The sequence below is a fragment of the Homo sapiens genome, chromosome 3 (assembly GCF_000001405.40).
Source record: "Homo sapiens chromosome 3, GRCh38.p14 Primary Assembly".
NCBI lineage: Eukaryota > Metazoa > Chordata > Mammalia > Primates > Hominidae > Homo > Homo sapiens.
Window position 1 is genome coordinate 120,385,564 of NC_000003.12, and position 20,635 is coordinate 120,406,198.

A 20,635-nucleotide genomic window follows, 5' to 3' on the forward strand; every position below is an offset into this window, starting at 1 on the left:
AGCCACCAGTCCCATCCTGGGAGCCCCACCCTTGTGACATTATCTAATTCTAATTACATCTCAAAGGCCCCACCTCCAAATACAATATGAAATTGGGGATTACATTTCTGACACATGAAATTTGGGGGACACATTCAAACCATAGCATGATGTTACATGGGCACTTTGTTGGCACAAGGAAGAACCTGAGAAAGAGATATCTTTTAAAAAATAATTATGGATAACAGTTCTTATAGTTATTAAAGTCTCTGGCTATTACTGCACAAAGGCAATTAAAATCTTGGAAATTCAAAGGTGAGACTAACCCTTGAACTTTTCTGATTTGCCCAATTGATTTCAGTCTTTATTATTCCTATAACCCACCTTCCAAATCTCTCCTAGTTCTATGCATTGTACATAGATTCTCCTCTGCTATAGTCTGAATGTTTGTATCTCCCCAGAATTCAAATATTGAAATCCTAACTCCCAAAGTTATAGTATTAGGAGGTGGGGCCTTTGGGAGGTAGTTAGGTCATAAGGGTGGAGCCCTCATGAATGGGATTAGTGCCCTTATAAAAGAGGCCTATGAGAGGTTCCTTGTCCCTTCCACCAAGCGAAGACACAGTGAGGAGATGCCGTCTATGAACCAGAAAGAGGTCCTCACCAGACACAAAATCTATTAGCACCTTGATGTTGGACTTCTCAATTTCCAAAACTGTAAGCAATAAATTTCTGTTATATATAAGCCATGCAGTCTAAGGTATTTTGTTATAGAAGCCAGAATAGACTAAGACATCTTCCTTTGTTTTTTTGGGGGGTTCAGGAGAAGGATGGCAGTATCTTCCCTGGGAGGTTGGGCCATGAAGGAATCAAGCTTAGGTTATAGAAGTGAAGAGAAAAAGATGTGGAACAGTAAGGAAAGAGAAAAGAGAAAAAGTTGTGGAACATTAAGGAAAGAGAAAAGAAAACTGTCCAGGAACTAGAGATTTTAATGGGCTCAAAACCCAATTTTTTTGAATGATCAGATTAATATTAAATAATTTCAATGGGGATAAGACCTATGTCTGCCTCTAAGTCCTCCACATAGTATGTCACAGCAAAAAGGAGGATCATCAGGGAGATTTGTGCAATTGTACAGACATCTGCATTTCTAAGGTAAGTTTTTGCCAGGCCAAACCTTTGAGGTATGTGCTGAGGGCTGCTGGGATACTCACACTCGCTGGCATGACTCCTGGATATAGCATCCTTTGGGAGACCAGCTTGGACTGGGGATCACTTTTTAGGAAACTTCAGAGGCATGGGTTGAACTGCATTCACATATGTACTTAAAAGAAACCAAAATGAAAGGACATGCAGACAGTTATTAGAACCACATGAAGGAATATATGGTTAGTTATATGTGCTCAGCAATTACATTATAGAAAACACAAATTAGGAATTAATGGTTCACAATGATGTGATGATCTTTAAAATAAAGGGAAACATTGTGGCAAGGCAAAATGAGCATGACAGGGACCTGGGTCTGAATCCTGAATGTGTTCCCTGTTAGCTGTGTTAGTGTTGAACAAGTTCCTGAAACTTAAACTACATGTTCCTCATTTGTAAAATATATTTTTCACAGGGTCAGTCTGAGAATTATGAGAATATGTTATAGGTATTGATAACTGGTAATAATGATACCTGACACCTACATAACACTTTCTATGTGCCAGAAACTATTTGAAAAAAAAGTTACACAGCATGGGCAACATGGCAAAACTCCATCTCTAAAAAAGGTACAAACATCAGCCAGGCGTGATGGTGGGCACCTATAGTCCCAGCTGAGATGCGAGTCTGGGGAGGTCGAGGCTGCAGTGAGCTGTGATCGTGCCAATGCACTCCAGCCTGGGCAAAAGAGTGCCCTGTCTCAAAAAAAAAAAAAAAAATTACATTAACTCATTTAATCCTCAAAGGAAAAAAAAAGAATGAGGTAGGTATTATTATTAAGCTACCTTAAAGAGAAAACTGAGGCACAGAGAGGTTAAATAACTTCCAGAAGCATAAAACGTAGGAGCAGAGCCAGGATTTAAACCCAGGAAACCTGGCTGTTAAACACTACATTGTATTGTCTCAGTGGAATATCAGCCATAATAAGAACCACGTTCTGATATAGGTCAATTAGGAAGGAGTTAAAACATGTAATATGTGATGATATAAAAATTACTGGCTGCCAGATTTGACTATGAAGTCCTGCAGAAGAATTTTGGAGCAAACTTATTTTACTTCGAGTTGTCCCAGCTCCCTGGAAAATGTCAAATTCCGCTAACTTGTGTAATTTAAAGCTAGGCCAGGAGACCCCACGTGCGTGCATCTTGATCCTGGAGCTGCTTCCCTGGTGTCCAATGCAAATGGCCTCTGTGGCCTAGCACCCCCCTTCCCACCACTCGAGGTTGCACCAAGGCCTAGGAGGGTCACGTTGAGGTTCCTACCCACTGGCAAGCAAGAGCCTGGCAGCCATCCCCTCCGTGGTTTGCCCGTGGCCACCCATGACTACTACCGGCGCCTCCAGGGTTCCACTCGCAGCAGCAGCACCTGATGATGGGCCTTGCTGAGTACCCTAGAGAAGCCATCCCCCACCCCCTGGTCTCTGGAAGGCTGATCCAGGTGATAGGAGTGTAAGGTAAAATAAAGCTGTAAACATGTTTTGACCATAGGACAAGACATTGTTGAAAAAAAGTTTAAGTTGTGAACGTATTGACCAAAGAGTCAAAGAGTCAGGACATGTAAAACAAGATAAAATAGAAAAACATGTTTATGTGGACTTTGCCAAACATATTTGGACTTTGGTAAACAACTTTAATGGATGCTACAAAATATGGTAAACAAGTGGACCAAAACAACAATGGAGTTCACCAGGGCATGACCAATCAGACAAAGGTGTTCACCACTACACTGGGATGGAACACAGAAAAGAACGACTTCATTGACCACTTAGGCGCGACGTATCCCCCCAGTCAGTCTCCGAGCCCCTTGCTGCATTGTGCCCATATGCCCATTCACTCTCACATTGGACAAGACCACCACAGGCAGACAAGAGACTATGCCTGGACTATGAATAGAATGCAAACTGAAAGGTTTTTTTTGTTTTTGTTTTGTGTTTTTGAGACGGAGTCTCACTCTGTCACTCAGGCTGGAGTGCAGTGGAGCGATCTCAGCTAACTGCAACCTCCGCCTCCCGGGTTCAAGCAATTCTCCTGCCTCAGCCTCCTGAGTAGCTGGGATTACAGGCATGTGCCACCATGCTCGGCTAATTTTTGTATTTTTAGTAGAGATGGGGTTTCACCATAATGGTCAGGCTGGTCTCGAACTCCTGACCTCGTGATGCACCCACCTTGACCTCCCAAAGTGCTGGGATTACAGGTGTGAACCACCATCCCCGGCCGACTGAAAGGTTTTAATTGCCTTGGTAAGGCTGCCCCTTGATGATCTCTTTTGAGTGTGTTTTTACATGTGTAGAGAAATGACCATTATTACATACAATCAATAAACCGTGTGATTCAAACATTTAACTTGAGTCATTGATTCTTGTCATTTTCTGCACCATAAAATCCTCAAGAAAGCATGAGTTATGTCCTTGTGACAGCAGGTCACTGGTGGGTGAGCTGCTTTTTCGGGAAGTCCACTGTCCTGTTCATGCCATGGTGTTGGAGTCCCCAGAGCACTTGGATTCCCCTCAGGCCTCCAGCATGACCACCTCTGGCCTGGTTCAGAGAGTCACCAGGAAGCAGCCTGGCAGCCACCCCAACAAAATCAGTGCCCATCTGGGCCTGTGCAGGCACCACGAGCCCCAGCTACTCGGGAGGCTGAGGCAGGAGAATCGCTTGAACTCGGGAGGCAGAGGTTGCAGTAAGCCAAGATTGCACCACTGCACTCCAGCCTGGGCAACAGGGCGAGACTCCATCTCCAAAAAAAAAAAAAAGAAAGAAAGAACCCTTTCCCTCAGATGCAGCATAGATGGGAAGGAGAATGACCTAGCAGTAGTAGATAAGTTAGGAGGCTATTTCAGGGATGAGGCAAGAAATAATGGTGATTTGAACTAGAACAATGGCAGTGGGGATTAACAGGGAAAGGAGGTAGCATTGATAACAGCTGGCTATTGACTAACTGGGGCTCGAGTAGCTGGGACTACAGGTGTGTGCCGCCATGCCCAGCTAATTTTTTGTATTTTTAGTAGAGATGCAGTTTCATTGTGTTAGCCAGGATGGTCTCGATCTCCTGAGCTCATGATCCACCCGCCTCAGCCTCCCAAAGTGCTGGGATTACAGGCGTGAGCCACCACGCATGGTCTGGGTTCTTTCTTAAACTGAATCTGATCATGCCTTTCTCCTGCCATTATAACTTCATTAGCTCTCTCTTGTTCTCAGGATACAGTCTTTACAAATAGCATTTATAAATATAATCAACATGTTACAAGGCCAACAACAGCTGTGTTTTATTGAGCAGTCACTATATGCCAGGGCCTTTACATGTTTATTTCATTTAATCAGCACAGCAACGTTATGAAGTAGTGTTATACCTTCATTCTGTAGAAAATAATAACAAAGCATGTCAGGCACTTTCTAACTTTTTGCATATTTTATGTTATTTAATCCTTATAACAATGCTATGAAATACAAATTACTATTTCCATTTTACAGAAGAAGAAATTTAAGCATAGAGAATCTGATTTGCCTAAGGTTGCATGTCAATAACAGATTGGGATTCAGACCCAGGTCTGAATCTAAAGCTTTTATTGACTCTACCACATCCCTGAATCTCTGCATATGCCACTCTTGAATGGACTTTGACTAGGCTAATTCTACTTGTTCAGATTTCAGCCTAGAAAAACCTTCCACGATTGCTGACGCCACACTATTGATCTTCTTGTTTCCATAATGTGTACTCGTTTCTCATCTTTGTCATAATATGGTTGCAAGATATCAAACAGACTGCTGACCTGCCTGTCTTCCTGAGACAGGAGACTGAGTCTGATTATATATCCAATCTGAGTGCCTTCCCAGTGCCTGACACATAATACCCAGTAAAAGTTTGTTCAATTCTACTTGTTCACATCATCTGTTTGTACTTCCTAGGTCTCACCTATTCATAGAGTACATACTCATTATTTCTTTTTCACAGATTCAAATGGTGTTTACACATCTAAAGCTCTTCTATAACATGGATTATAGTAAACAACTCCTGGTTTTGCTCATTCTCTACCAGAATCTTGAAAGGACCTACTTGATGGGTAGCTATATACACCAATGCATAAGTGATGGCATAATTCAGGTTTTCATAAAGGTATCAAATGAGGTGTTTGTTTGTTTGTTTTGAGACGGAGTCTCGCTCTGTTGTCCAGGCTGGAGTGCAGTGGTGTGATCTCAGCTCACTGCTGATTGCTCAAGCAATTCTCCTGCCTCGGCCTCCCAAGTGGCTGGGATTACGGGTGTGTGCCACCACGCCCAGCTAATTTTTTTTATTTTTAGTAGAAATGGGGTTTCACCATGTTGGCCAGGCTGGTCTCAAACTCCTAATCAAATGAGTTTTTGAGAATAATTGGGCACACATGCAGAAACAAGATCACCTGTAGTTTATCCTACTTATTTTCAAATAACAATTTATAAAGCTTCCTATCTCACTGAGTAAAAGCCAGATTCCTTACATGGCCTATTAGGACCACAAGATATACCTTCCTCACCCCTCAGTCCCTTACCCTGCCTTGTCACTTCTTTGCCTCGTATTCTGCTACTCTCTCCCTCATTCACTTCAGCCCTGCCAAGCTGACACTCTTGCACTGGCTCTCTCTTTTGTCTAGAATGCTCTTGTTCAGACATCACACATCGAATTCCCTTGGCTTAGTCTTTTTCACTTTCTCAATGAGGCCTATCCTGACCACTATATTTAAAATGGGAAACTGAGACAAACTGAGACACTCCCTTACCCTACACTCTCCTAGTCCCCCTCCTCTTGCTATACATAGTCCTTATCACCTTCTAACATACCATAAGCTTTACTTATTTATTGCATCTATTATCTAGCTCTCCCTGCTAGAATTTAAGCTCCACAAAGCCAGAGATCATTATGTCTTTTCACTGGTCACAGGTAAGTCCGAGCACTTAGAACAAACACTTAGAAAATGTCTGTAACGTAGTAATAGACACAACAAATATTTGGTAAATGAACAATAAATGATATTGATCTCCATCTCTACTTTTTCCTTACAAAAGAGTTGAAAATCACCCTTAAACAATCATAGAGTAGAATGGATCAAAGGATAGTTGAGGTACAGTTTGGATCCCCTACTATATTGTTCTTATTCCCTTAATTACAACCTTAGATTTAGCTTATATATTCCATGACTCTGGCAATGACTACATTATGCCATGTTCTGTCCTCCCCAAGTGGACATTTCTGAATGCTTTTTGAGGGCATCAGAGTTCTACTCTGGCCGTTTTCTGTCCTTAAGTTTCAACAATGACACAGATTTTAAAGTTCTTTTGTCTTAAAGACAGAAAGGAAAAGATGTATAAATCGGGTTATATAAAGAGTCGAGTTTTCTACAAGGCAAAGCATCTCATAAAGTCAAAAGAAGAAAAACAAACTGAGAAAGTATTTGCCACATTCACAACAAAGGGCTAACGATATACTTATGGAGAACTATGACAAACCAGTAAGAAAAAGACCAGCAACCATTAGAAAAACAAAGAAAATGAAGAAAATGACAAGAACCAATTATTCATGAGATGATATTTAATCTTACAAAAGGAATAATGAATATAAAAAATAAAACAAGGAGTTACCATTTTTCCTCTATCAGAGGCCAAAAAGTTCGAAGGCACAATGTTTGCAAGAATGTAGGGAAATGGATATGCTCAGTTTATGTACTTTTGGCAGTCATGCATACTGGTGCAACTTCTTTGACTTTATAGGCAATCATAGGCAAATTTATAAATGTACACACCCTCTTAAGAGGATGGTTTTATTCACTGTATTTTCTGTGATACAATTTGGATTTTTACCATGTACACATATTATTTTTTCAGTAAAAAAGTTAAATCATTAGGAAAACATTAATTCTCATTGACAGGAAGACCCTCCTTCCTATTCATACAGCAACATTTTACTTCCTATGTCACACCATGCAACAGCCCCCAGCAGCAGTAGGCCAGAGTTGTTTTCATGTCCCATATCCCAGCTAGGATTATTCCAGGGCTCTGAAGGCATCTGCTTAGATCTATCTATGCATTCATATTTTTTCCCTTCCTTCCTTCCCCTTATTTCAGAAATAATTCAAGAGGACTGATGATAACTTGATAAAGAAGCTCTAAAATAAAGCTGATCAAAGTAACATACTTCTTTGCACAATTCGTAATATTAAATTTTGATGAAAGGAAACTTAGCTTCTGAATTATGCTTAGTTTAATAATGTTGCACTTCCTGAATACATACATACTATAACAGCAGAAAAAGTTTTCCCAGAACATGGTGGAAGGTTGGGAAGTTAGCCAAAATTTAAAAGTGGTTGTGGACAAGGTACCCTTCAAACTGGGTTTAAGATTCCCTTCTGAGAATGAAAATTTGAAGAATCAAACTGTAAGAGCAGTAATCTGTAGCAATCACATAACAAAAAAGATTGCCTTTTAATATTTGATTAGCATTTGGGTAATATCCCAAATCCAATCAAAGTGATCCAGCTATAATTTTAGGAAAGCAAAACTTCCACATGACTGAACCGAAGAAACCTTAAACCTCATTGACTATAATATGCTCTTTTGGGAGGCAGAATTATTGTGGGTGGAGAGTGCATGATACATATGAAAATGGCAGGTTGGAAAGCGTTAGTCATGTGTCCCCAAGCAAAAGAGGTTTTAACCAGCTAACGTTCAGCCCACTTGGAACTGTTTACCCCCATGGAATGTGTGTATCAAGGAAGTGCCATTAAGGTTATTTAGCCTGTCCCTGGCAATGATTCCATGTTCCCTGTACTACCTTCCCATGTTTATTTGCCTTCTCACAGGCTACTGCAGTCAGCCTCACTGGATGCCATTTAGTCTCCTAAATCATATGGGGGATTTACGAGTCATTTAATTTAATGTCTTCCCAATACAGGAATGCACCTGCTATGGTTTGAATGTTTATGTCCCCCAAAATTCATATGTTAAAATTGAATCCCCAAAGCAATGGTATTGAGAGGTGAGGCTCTTGGGAGATGATTAGGTCATCAAAGTTTAACCCTCATGAATGGGTAAGTGCCCTTATAAAAGAGGCCTAAGGGAGTTTGTTCACCCTTTTCACCATGTGGGGATGCATCAAAAAGGTGCATTCTTTGAAGCAGGCAAGCTTCAACAAGCCGTCATCAGACACTGAATCTGCTGGTACCTTGATCTTAGGCTTCCCAGCCTTCAGAACTGTGAGCAATACATTTCTGTTGCCTATAATTACCCAGTCTGAGGCATTTTGTTATAGCAACTTGAAGGGACTAAGACACTTTCTGACTTGTCATCACCTTCTACTCCAGACCCACTATCCATGATCCTTTCAAAGAAACTTGTTCTACCAGTCCCCGAGTAAACTTTCCATCCAAGCTGTAGTCCCAGGAGAAACTCTTCAGTCCTTTTTAAGGCTCCTGAAACTCAAATCCACTCTTAGGAAGTAAATGGGTAATGTTCTCACGACTTTATTTGGCCTTAATTGGGGGAAAGGAAACCAATAAAACCATCACTTTAATTTCTTTATTCATCAATAGTATCCGAAAAGGAAGAATCAGGAGTTACAAAAACAAGTTAAATGCAATATAGAAGCCTACTAAATACAAATACAAGTTCACAAACACATATGCAACAGAAACTTGTTTAGATTGTTTCTTGAAGTTTGACTACTTAAAAACATAGGTGTAAAGGAAAGACATTCAGACTGGTCCACGTGGGCTTGTTAGCAGGCAGAGGAACCCTGCTTTCCAAAAACTGATATAGTCCAGAGTCACGGCATGTGGGAATGTTTCCATGGACACTGGATCTTAACAGATGCTATAGTGTTTACAAAACTACACACACAGAGAAAGCCCAAGGAAGCCTGCAGGCTAAGCCCTATGCTTTTAGAGGGCTGAAGGAACCAAACCTAGTTTAATCCTGTTTGTTTGCTCCATGCAAAACTTTATGGAAGACTCCCCAGACTAGGCTATTTAGCAGCTTCCATGAATGGTCCTCAGATCATGTGATTCTACGGCATAGACGACAGCTGCCCTATTTACACAGAAGCTGCAGAACTCAAGAGGAATGTGGATTTGCTCTTGGGAGTTCAATGTTGCAGGGTAGAGTAGTCTTGGATGATAACCATGTTCTAAATGACTAGTGAAGAGACACTGTGGTTTCTTGCTTTTAACAAATTGGTGTACTCTTGCCCTCCTCCCATAGTGTCCAAGGGCTGGTAAAACCTTTGATTAAGGCGTGCTGCTGTGAGTTCTCCAAGGCACTTGGACAGGGAGCTGCATTTCAGACTGAACAAGTGGAGTTTGAAGAGTTTTTAGATGGGATGGATACATAAAAGCTTGAAATGCTAAACAAAGTGGAATTTTCTCCTTTCAAATGAGAACAAGAAAAACTAGAAGGAATTCTATTTTTGGCACAACAGTTTCTCACAGTTGCCTGTGCATTACAACCTAAATAATTTCCTTCTGATGGTCTTTAATCTGCTTTCTGCAAATGAGATCTTATGTCAAGGATTTAATCTTTGGTATTCCAAATGCATCTGAAACAGGGTAGTGAGTGGGGTTAATAATCACAGAAGTCGAAAGACACAGGACTAACTGTAAATGACTGACCTCCCCAAGTCACAGTTTTAGGATTAAATCTCCATTTTCTTCCCCCTGTTGAATCTGAAACTTTCTTTTATCCTCATCTCTAAGGGAATGCTTTCTATTTCCAGCCGGAGGTTAAACATGAAATGCAAATATGAAGACAGAGTGGGGTGGTTCTCTTTCCCACTCTCTTCCTGCTTTACCCATGAGGACTCCATATCATAGCACGACCTGTAGGGTCATCAGGCTGAGATCAAATCTGGTCATCTTGTTTTTGGCCATCTGACATTTCTTGTTCTAGTAACAAGATTTCATTTATTCTATAGAGAAGAAGGAAAAATCACAGGAACCTATCTCCCCTCTGGACCAATGATCAGAACCACAGAATTTATAACTTATCAAATCAAAAGGTTAGTGCATTCTTACCAGCTCACTGAGGAAACTGAGGTCCAGAAAAAAGAAGAGACAGGGCCAACTCACCCTCCTAGTTAGTCGAATGAGCATATTGGTAGGCTGGGATATCCTAAGCCCTGCTTGGCTGCCCTTGTCGCCATCCTTGGGAATACTGATTTGCCTCAACTTCTCAGAATAAATAAAAACAAATTAATGTTTGGATCTTGAAAGTTTTTTATGAAGATGCTTCTTCCCCTGGCTTCGGTCTAAGGCACCCTTGCTCCTCTGGCAGATAGTGGACTGCTGGAAGCTAGGGGGGCCAACTATGGGCTGCATCTAGTATGTGGCAGGGTGGGGGCATCTGGGTTATTTCAGCCCCTGCACCAGGAAGAACCCCAAACTCCTTCCACCTATGAAGTGGTGGGACTACTGAAAAATAATTACAAAAGCTTAATACCTAGTCAAGAAAATAAAATATTAAAAAACAATAATATAATGATAATAATTGAAGAATAAAGTCAACTTGCCAAAAAAAAGTGTTTTACAGAGAAATAGCACCTTTGGTAAAAAGTATTTTTAAAATTTGGTTAGGTCGCTAAGGGGCTCAAAGTATACAAGTATCTGCATCATTTGGGTGTACCCTCCCAGAAACTCCATCCAAGTCTGAGGGACACTGGGTTAACTAGCAGTATGGCTATGTATCTAGAGGCAGTTATTGGGACCAAGAGATGCGTGGATGCTGGAGGTCTGTCATGCTGACGGCAATGGAAAGAGGCTGGAAGCAGAGAGCGTTCCTCTCCGTGGAGCTTCCCAAACCTCTCCTCCGGGGACACCCTGCTAAGTTCTCTCTGGCATCGTGTGCACTCCCTGCAGCCTGCTGACAGATGCAGTAAACTCAAAAGAGGTTCAGATTTGGGTCTGTTCCTCTTTCAATCGTGATGCAGTTTCCTTACTAGCCTCCAGCCCCAGAGCACCATTTACAGTTTCTCTTAAAGCACTCCTAGAAATGAAGGCTGTGGCCCTTCCCTTCCTAGCCAGCCACCTTCATATCCTTTATTGCAAAACAAATAAACAAAATAAAACTCATTGCTATATAAGCAAATACTGGTGATTTGGCGACTGTAGCAGACACTTGTGTATACTGAACTCAGCGCTGAAGTGGAGAAGATGCTGGGATCCAGACACTGGTCTGTGCCTCCTCATTAGATCTCTTTGGTGCTCACTCTCTTGGTCTTTTCAGCTGTTTCCTTTGAGATGCAAGAGAAAATAGGCGTCATGGAAATATTAAACAACTGTTGGAATTTATCTGTTCCTCAAGACTATATAGCATTGGCATTTACAAGCTTATGCTGAATTTTAGTTGTTTACTTGTCGGGCTCCTCCACGGACAATGAACAATTTGAGAACAAGAACTATGGCCTATTCATGACATGGTCATGCAGGGGCTGTTTACTGAATTAAGCTGACTCCATTTGGACTCCTATGAAACAAGCAGATCAGACATTATGGTTCCCATTTTAAGGATGAAGAAAATGATGTTAAATGGAAATGCTACAAGATGTTCTTAATCCAACAAGTCCAAAGAAGTGTTAAGTACAACAGGTTCTGGAGGCAGACTGCCTGAGCTTCAACCATGGCTGTGCTACTTTTTGGGTGACCTTGGGCATATTATGAAATCTTCTGTGTCTCAATGTCTTCAACTGCAAAACCACAGTAATAAAGTACCATCTCTTACAACAGTGCCTGGCACAAAATGGCCAATAAGGACATAAGAAGATGCTCAACATCATTAATCACACGGGAAATGCAAATCAAAACCACTTGACACCCGCTAGGACAGCTAAAATAAAAAATAGCAATAACAAAACCGTTGGTGAGTATGTGAAGAAATTGGAACTCTATGGTGAAGATGTACAGTGGTGCAGTAGCTTTGGAAACCAGTTTGGCCATTTCTCCAAAGGTTAAACATGGAGTCACCGTATGACCCAGCAATTCCACTTCTAGGTAAATACCCAAGAGAGCTGACAACATGTGTCCACACAAAAACTTGTGCGAAAATGTTCCTAACAGCTTTATTTATCAGAGCCCCCAAATTGAAACAACCTAAATATCCATTAAATGATGAATGGATAACACAACATGTGGTATATTCGTATCATGGAATATTACTCAGCCATAAATAGGAAAGAAGTACTGATTCATGCTGTAAGAATGAACCTTGAAAACATTATGCTAAGTCAAAGACAGAAAAGGCTATACTGTTGTATGATACCACTGTAATATGTCCAGAACAGGCAAATTTATAGTTAGAAAGTAGATTAGTGGCTGCAAAGGGCTGGAGGAAGATGAGAATGGAGGGTTACTTCTAATGGGTATGGGATTTCTTTCTGGGATAATGAAAATGTTCTGGAATTAAGATAGTAGTGAGATGATTGACAATCTTAGGAATATACACTTTAAAGGGGTGAATTTTATGGTATATGAATCATATCTCAATTAAAGAAATAAATTTTTAAAACCTGACAACATTGCCTGATATCTAGCAGACACTGGTGTTCCATCCATCGCCCCTTTGTGTTTAATGTCTTGGTGTACACTGGCATGACTTCCTACCTACTGCCAGCACCTGCATCTCTGCCTGAGGCCTTTCTCTGGCTGCTGGAGCCCACTCTGTCCACACACACTGATAGGCCACAAATGCCAGGGAATTAACATTTCCCAGTAGCAGCCCTCAGCCAATGGCTAATGGGAGTTCTTGTAGAAACAGCCCAGCTTCATCCCCACTCAGGCACTGTTATTCCATTCCCAGAGATCCCCAATAGGATTAAGAGTCACTTGTTAACAGTGGTAACATGCCTGAATACACACTCTTCATTACTTCCTTCTCTTTCTGGACTCATTTCCCAAATCTCCCTCTGGTGTTTCCTGGCATTGCTTCCCAAATAAACTATGTGTACTTGCATCCTTGCCTCAGCATCTGCTCTGAGGGGACTCACATCAAACACAGAAACTTAAACATATTAGCTACTATAATTCACTCTGTACTGTCTGATAACTGTACTGTCTGATATTCTAGACGAAAGTAATTCCTATGAAGTTTTTTTCTCTTTCATGGGATTGAACTCATTTGGAGACTCAAGACTGGTGAAATTTGAAAAGCAAAAGACTAGAAGCTTTTGCTTCTGCTTAAACAACCGACATGAGATTTCTATACTATCAGTGACAATGATGACAAAATGCACATTAAGAATGATCAATAAATGGGCAATTACTATTAATAGTAATAGTTCTGTTTACTCATGTCAAATATTTCATATCAATAGTTTAGCAGTTCTTGTGACCATTATATTCCTTAAAAACTTCTATGTCAGAGAGAAGGCTAATACTACTACATTCGGTCTACGGACAGGTAATGGAAGGTGCAATATCCTGTATTAAGACTACATAATAAGCCAGTAGGAGGATGGGCCAGGAGTTCAACAGTTCCACAATATGTCAGAGCATCACTATTCTGCTAAGAACCCTTTCCCCAAGGAAGCCTTTAACTTAATGACATAGAACCTGAACAAAATTCTTATTATCTTCTTGAGTCTCTGGGAAGGAGACTCTTTGTTAACCCCAGGCTATTTTCTAGCCAGACTGATGTTGAACTTAAATCCTTTCTGCTGTGGCCCAAATCCACTGCTTTCATGCTCACTGAGTGCTGACTACATACCAGGCCCTGTGAGACTGCAAGGGTACAATGATGAGCAAGTTACAGAGCCTGCTTTCAGGAGCTCACAGTCTTTGGGTCTGGACACTGGTCATGACAGGATACACACTTCCTTAAACCACGCTCATTTGCAAACCACTTCCACCTCATTTGCAAATCACCACCTGCCTGATTTTGCCTTATGCAGCCACTCACCGAGCTGTAACCTATATGTGTTGAGACCTACTGGGCCCTGTGAGGACTTTATCAGGGAACTGTCTGTATCACAGTTTGATAGTACAGGTGATGGGGTATCACTCAAGATGTACTGTATTGAGCAGAGAGAGCCTCCTTGGTCTCCTGGGGCACTGGGCAGTGTTTGAATGGTATAGGGCCTGATGGCAACAGCAACACCTGAACCAGCACGGAGGCTGCCACTCACCTGATGCTTTTGGAGCTCCTGGACATATCTGGTCATCTCCTCCTCTGTCTGGGTCTGGGCCCCCTTCTGATTCTTTCCTGCAAGAAGAACCAAAGCTCAGAGCAGTAGCAGCTGTGGTAAGCCAGTGAGGAATCCGCCAAGATCTACCTAGAGGCTCTCAATTCATCTCCCATTTAACTTGTGGAAGGAGAGGTGAATTACCCACATTTTCTGAGTATGAAGGCATGAAGGGGCCCTGTGTAATTGATACCTCCAAGGTAACACATTGTAACAAAGCAATCTACCCCAACTCCTCTCTGGCCTTTGTTCCTTTAACTGCTTAGCACATCCCAGCCAGAAGCTGGCCCTACAAAAAAAGTTATGGTGAAAACTTGGATCCTGACACTGGAGATTTCTCTGAGACAATGACTCTCAAGTCATTCATATACCATCAAAATGTCCTGGAGAACATTTGAAAAGATAGCTGTCTAGTTCCACCTTCAGAGATTCTGATTTAATTGATGTGAGGTGAGATCTGGACACCAGTATTTTTTTACAAGTCTTTCTAGTTGGTTCTAATGTGCAGCCAGGGTTGACAACCATTTCATCTAGCAATGTTTCTGAAACTTGCACAGTGATAAACAAAAACAAAAACTACACAGGTTCCCAAGCTGCTCTTTTGCAAATTCTGATTTACTAGGTTTAGGATGAAATCTCTAGGCTTATCAAGTAGAATGCTGACCATTAGGAAACACTTCTAGGACATATCTTCCAAACATTGCTATCAACCTTCCCTTCACAGCAGTTTCCCTTGGCTCTGCCTCCTCCTGGCTTCAAATTTTGATGCCCCTTCTTGCTTGTCCCATTTTGATTTGTGATCTAAGATCAGACTGCTAACTCTCAGGTATTAACCTGAAAATGCCCCAGAATGCTGGCTCCACAAACTCCTCTTAGATCCACGGCCTACACATCCATACGTGCTCAGGCCCCTGGGGCACCACCATCTAACATGGGTTGCTCCATGTTATACCCACATAGAGTTCTGGACTTGGTCATCCAGGGAGGATGAGCAGCCCATAGCTGAGTGGCTGTGGAAATGGGCAACATCCCATGAAGCTGATCATTTGAATTTTGTCTGATGCATGTGATAGAGATTATTATCCAAATGACCATGCTTATTCTATAAGCCAACTGCATACCAACTGCCTGCACCTTAGAAATGGAGGGCTACCTTTACAAAGCCAGAACAGCAGCAGTTAGAAGCGGAGAGGTACTGAAGGGAGTTTAGGGAAGACAAGTATAGGATGCTTCATGGTTGAGGCAGGCTAGGCCACTGACTGTTTTGAGATGTGTTTTGTTGGTTTCAGTAGCAACTCTGTGTTTGGTCTGGAGATCCTGGCTTGGTCTTGACTTCTAGGAACTTGTAGGAATTTCTAGTCTCTAAACAGCCTCTTCCTGTTCCTTCACCTGTCCCTGTAGTTACATTGGTTTGCTGTCGTTCCACACTGAAAACAGACTTGGTCCTGGGCAGCGGTAGACCAGTGATACCTTAGATAGTACTGGGCCATTTATACTGTTGCTGTTCTCTAGGATCCTTGTCTAGAAGAGCCTCATCCTGGGTTTCTGACCTCTGTCTCCTAGTTACCATTTAACCTGATCTTCCTGAACATTATCTTAGGTTCCAGCCAGCTCTTCCTTGACACAGTTAACTTCTTAAAATAAACTTTTTTTTTTTTTTTAAGACAAGGTCTTGCTCTGTTGTCCAGGCTAGAATGCAGTGGCGTGACTATGGCTCATGGCAGCCTCAACCTCCCAGGCTCAGGTGATCCTCCCACTTCAGCCTCCCAAGTAGCTGGGACTACAGGCACGTGCCATCACGCCTGCCTAATTTTCACATTTTTGTAGGGACATGGTCTCGCTATGTTGGCAAGGCTGGTCTTGAACTCCTGGGCTTCCCACTTTGGCCTCCCCAAGTGTTGGGATTATAGGCATAAGCCACTGCGCCTGGCTGATATAACTTTAGGTTCACCCTAGCTGGTGAAACTTTTCGGCCTGGTTCCAAATGACCTTAAGGCAATTCTCCGTTGCAGACCTGGCTTCAACACCCTTCTCTGTCTTGCCTCCACTCTGAATATCCCTGGTTCTTTGCTAGGGCTCGGCTTTAAGAGTCCCTCTTGATCTTTGGCATCATTGTAGCCCAGGACCCAGATGGGACTCCAGTGGTTCCAACATACCCTGTAGCCTCACACTGCCCCACAAACTCTCAGATTTCTCTGTCTCCCCAGACCACCCTGCACATATCTCAACTAGCTCAACTTTCTCTTTTTAAAAAAGATTACCCATCTCTGTTAGTTGAAAGAGGGTCTACAAACATATTTTCTTTTTCTGCTGGGTATGGCAAGGAGAAGTCATTTTGTCTTCCAACCACTAGTCTTTTACCATTTCCTAAGGTGTTATAAGGATCAATGGGTTAATATGTAAAGTGCTTAGAAGAGAGCCTGGCACATGGTTTTTGCTGAGTATTTGCTTTCACTGTTACTATTCCATTATTATTTTTGATTATTATTAAATAATAATTATTGTTTTTATTTTAATGTTTTAATTATTAAATAATTACTATTTTTAATTATTATTCCATTATTACTACTTTCACTGTTACTATTTCCATAATGTTACTATTCCATTATCATTTACTTTTGCCCAGGGTCTTGGTCCTCTCTTATTCCAAGCCTCTGGAGTGATTTTCAAACTGAATGCCTATGGGATAAATGTTCTGCCCTCAAAGCTCCCCACTTGGGGCTCCAACCTTACAGGTGTGGGTCTGCCTGGGTTCCTTGCTCCCAGCCACCGCCCTCTTCTCCATCATCCCCACCCCAACTTCTCTCATGCTGATTTCATGAAGCTCTCTCCTTGCTGTTTTTTCTTTCTGCTTGAAGCACAGCTCACCGTCACAGGTCATGGCTGTACAGACCCAATTTCCACAGGCACAGACACAGCGGTTACAGTCCACCTCGGTCTCAGCTCCATCTGCATACGTTTCATCCTCCAGGGCACACTCTGTTGGGCCAGAAATACGGGGCAACAGTTTAGCTGTGAGGGTGGAACAGGGCATCTTTGCTACAGTCTGTGCACCTTACCCTTTTTTCCCAGACAAGACCTGCCTGTCCCTCAGAAGCACTATATCTGAGCAAACACTACCATCAACCTAAAGAATGTGGGGCCCTAACTTCACCATGGGGAGAATGGGCTGGGGCCCAGTTTAGAATCATGGAAGGGGATTTTCTCAGCTAGCTCTGGAGAGTTCCACCAATCCTCTCTATCTTGGCTCCTACAAAATGCCTCCATTCACTACAGCTCTCTATTTCTTAGGTTAGGCATACTCTTCTCAGGAGGGTTGAAAGATGGGTTGAGGCACTTGAGAAACTCTTGGAAGCTGAGTTTCCAATCAGCATTTTCATCAGACAGTTCAATGAGAGCATCAACACAGAGTCCCCTGAAACAAAACACAGGAGAAATGTGTTAGCAAGACCTCAGCTTCGCTCAGAAGAAAGGAAGTAAGCATCAGGACCACATACACCCAGGGCCTCCACAGGAGGCCAAGAAGATGACTGCTAACTAAAACAGCCTCTCTCTACACTGACCCAACACAACTATTATCCATCCTGACCAATGCAGGCATCTAACCTTTAGTTTGTTATATGAATGTCAGATCACCCAGGCTGTCCAAATGTTCCCCCCCTTAAGATGACTAAAGTTTCGTGAATGGTTTTGTCTAATGTTTTCACTGCCTGCATACCTTCCACTAGCAATTGCTTTTCCCCATGGTATATACACGTCAAGTCAACCAAACTAGGAAAATCAAAACAGAAGAGATATGACAGATGACATGAAAGGAATATAGGATTTGAAAGAATATGAAGTTCAAGCAAGAATCACCATTATCATCCTTCTAGAAAGAGATTTTCAGAAAAGCTTTTAGAACTCAGCTCCATCAGCTTGCAGTGAGCCGAGATCCCGCCACTGCACTCCAGCCTGGGCGACAGAGCGAGACTCCGTCTCAAAAAAAAAAAAAAAAAAAAAAAACAAAAACAAAACAAAACAAAAACAAAAACAAAAAAAAACAAAAAACAAAACAAACAAAAAAAAACTCAGCTCCATCACTTCTTTCTTGGGCTGTATTTGAGCCCTGGCTCAATCACTTACTACTCAAATGGACTTGAGTTAGTTATTCAACTTTTCTGAGCCTGTCTTCCCATCCGTAAAAGGAGGACAAGAAGCCCTCCTTCACTGGGATATCATGAGGCTCAAACGTTGAAATTATAAAACATATAATTTCAGATTATCAAAATATGAAGGATTTACAGAACCTATACTTTAAGGTCATAGACTATTATTAAAGAAGAATCCTTCTAGAAACTGTGCAATGCACTTCTTTTGAAAAAAAGACATGCTTTTCCTATTTTTAATTCTTACCGATGTGCTGAAACCACATCAAAAGTTTCTTAGCGATTAGTTTTTATTAATATTGATTCTGGAATAATGCCATAAAAGTAGACGGGCATATATCTGTAACAGTTAGGGCAATTGACATGAAATAGCACTAATTATCTAAAAATCAGAACAAAGCTATTTTAGACCTATAGTTAAATAATACATTACTGTAATTCCTTCAGAAAATTAATCAGTAAAACATCACCCACAACATTCAGAAATAACTTGCTCTGACGTGCCCTTGGCAATTTATTTTAAAATTATATTCTTCTAGTCCTTGCAAGTTCTGACCAAAAACAATAACTATTTGATTAGATATCAGTGGTACTCAATATATTAATTCATACTTTCATAGAATAGAACAGGACAGAATTCCCATTTTGCTTTTTACGTGACATTCTCTCACTGGTGGCTCTTTTGCAGGTGGGAAAGGGTTTAAGTCCCCTCTCTCAGTTAGTCTTCCCTTGTGGATCATTCTCTGACCTCTCGGTTCCTCTCACCTAAGCAACTTGTTGTTCTCCTGGTCTGGATACGTTGTAATATTGATGGCAGTTTCATTCTGTTCCACAAACTTCAGGAATTCACTGGAGTCCAGGCGAGAATCACCATTATCAAAGTTCTAGAAAGGGCATGACAAGATCGTTCAGGGATGTTTTGCAGAACCCCTGTTCCATCATTACTCCACTCAGCTGACCTGCCTCTGATTCATCTTGTTCTTGATACATTCCAACCCTGCCCTGACCTCAGAGGGCCTTGGCAACAAATGCTCTAATCCCTGGGACATGCAGAGAAGGTACCTGTGCCCACAATGAGAGAGGAAAAGTGCCTGGGCAGAGGAGGCAACCTGAACTGAGGCCTCTGGGGTCCCTAAGCATGCTGTGTGGCCCCATCTCTGACACTGCCCTGTAGACACTTTTGACTATACCTTTGGGTTCAGACCAACCTGCACATCATGTTCTCAAGCCCTGATGAACATGTAACAAGAGTTTAAAGTTGCACGCTGTGAATCAGAATCTCTGTAGCAGGTCCCAGAATATGTTTCTAATGAGCTGCTCAGGAACAGCAGCAATGCAGATGACCCTCTGAGCTCACTTTGGAATTATAGGATTCCAAATCTTGTTGCTTGATTCCAGCCTCCTTGTCCTGTTCTCAGTGCTTAACTTTCACTTTGGTGCCCGTAACTGATCACATCAGTGAGAACTCAGGCAAAGGCCTCAAAGCAATAAGCTACAGACAGGGGTCATCATGCAAAGTTCCCGCTCCTCTGCCCTGTGGGCCCCACTGCAGATGTGTGCACAGGTCCTCAGATCATCCAGCTCAGGCTGCCCTCATGACCCAGCTGGCATCCCACAAGCACAAAGTGAGGAGTGCAGTAAGCTCACACACTGTTCTCTATGGCAAGATGCTAAACTGAGACCTCAGCCATCTGGGACCATTCAAGACACCCAGGCACTAGCTGCAGGAGGAGGGTGTCAAATCAAGACTGATCAAATTCCAAGTTGCATATGGCTGCTCTCCTAACAAATTTCAATAACATTTTCCCCCTTCCTCCCAAATCCTTTCCCTAGGCTCCCTCATGCTGCTGCCCTGGGAAAGGATCAGCTTCCCCATGTTACTTTCAAGATGGCTCCCCAGATGGTGCAAGGGATTCTGGAAGAAACATCTATCCAAATTTCTAGATAGAAGGGGAAGATGTAGCTAACAACTCTCCTCTCCTGCTTGCCATGTGTCACAGGTGTTCCACTCTAATGTTGTATAATGAAGGTGTGCATGAAACAACTATTAGGCCTTTGCTTAGTACGTACTTATCATTCTTGTCCTAATTCCTAGGAACAGGTCTCTGATG

The 20,635-nt window shown here is 42.0% G+C and overlaps 1 protein-coding gene, 1 non-coding gene and 1 pseudogene across 4 annotated transcripts in view, besides 2 other annotated features; 1 reads left to right on the forward strand and 2 right to left on the reverse strand.

Moving 5' to 3' along the window:
• Positions 1 to 20,635, forward strand: part of BTNL12P (butyrophilin like 12, pseudogene) — a 73,965-nt pseudogene that overhangs the window by 36,150 nt on the left and 17,180 nt on the right. The gene's annotated exons all lie outside the window — the stretch shown is intronic.
• Positions 6,730 to 20,635, reverse strand: part of FSTL1 (follistatin like 1) — a 58,700-nt gene continuing 44,794 nt past the window's right edge. Inside the window, exons 7-11 of the mRNA NM_007085.5 lie at positions 19,290 to 19,408; positions 17,679 to 17,791; positions 17,245 to 17,355; positions 14,320 to 14,396; positions 6,730 to 11,433 (exon numbers count right to left, since the gene is read on the reverse strand). Coding sequence (NP_009016.1) covers positions 11,389 to 11,433; positions 14,320 to 14,396; positions 17,245 to 17,355; positions 17,679 to 17,791; positions 19,290 to 19,408 — 465 coding nt within the window. The 3' untranslated portion in view covers positions 6,730 to 11,388. The remainder of the gene's footprint in view (positions 11,434 to 14,319; positions 14,397 to 17,244; positions 17,356 to 17,678; positions 17,792 to 19,289; positions 19,409 to 20,635) is intronic.
• Positions 10,105 to 10,166, reverse strand: MIR198 (microRNA 198). Its single transcript, NR_029584.1, has one exon. It is a non-coding gene; the product is annotated as a microRNA 198 (primary transcript).
• Positions 13,937 to 14,056: a silencer, noted in NCBI's record as "silent region_14636". NCBI's record gives its function as "represses an Ori minimal core promoter by ATAC-STARR-seq in GM12878 lymphoblastoid cells {active_cell/tissue: GM12878}" and the evidence as "EXISTENCE:reporter gene assay evidence [ECO:0000049][PMID:35858748]".
• Positions 14,147 to 14,196: an enhancer, noted in NCBI's record as "active region_20332". NCBI's record gives its function as "activates an Ori minimal core promoter by ATAC-STARR-seq in GM12878 lymphoblastoid cells {active_cell/tissue: GM12878}" and the evidence as "EXISTENCE:reporter gene assay evidence [ECO:0000049][PMID:35858748]".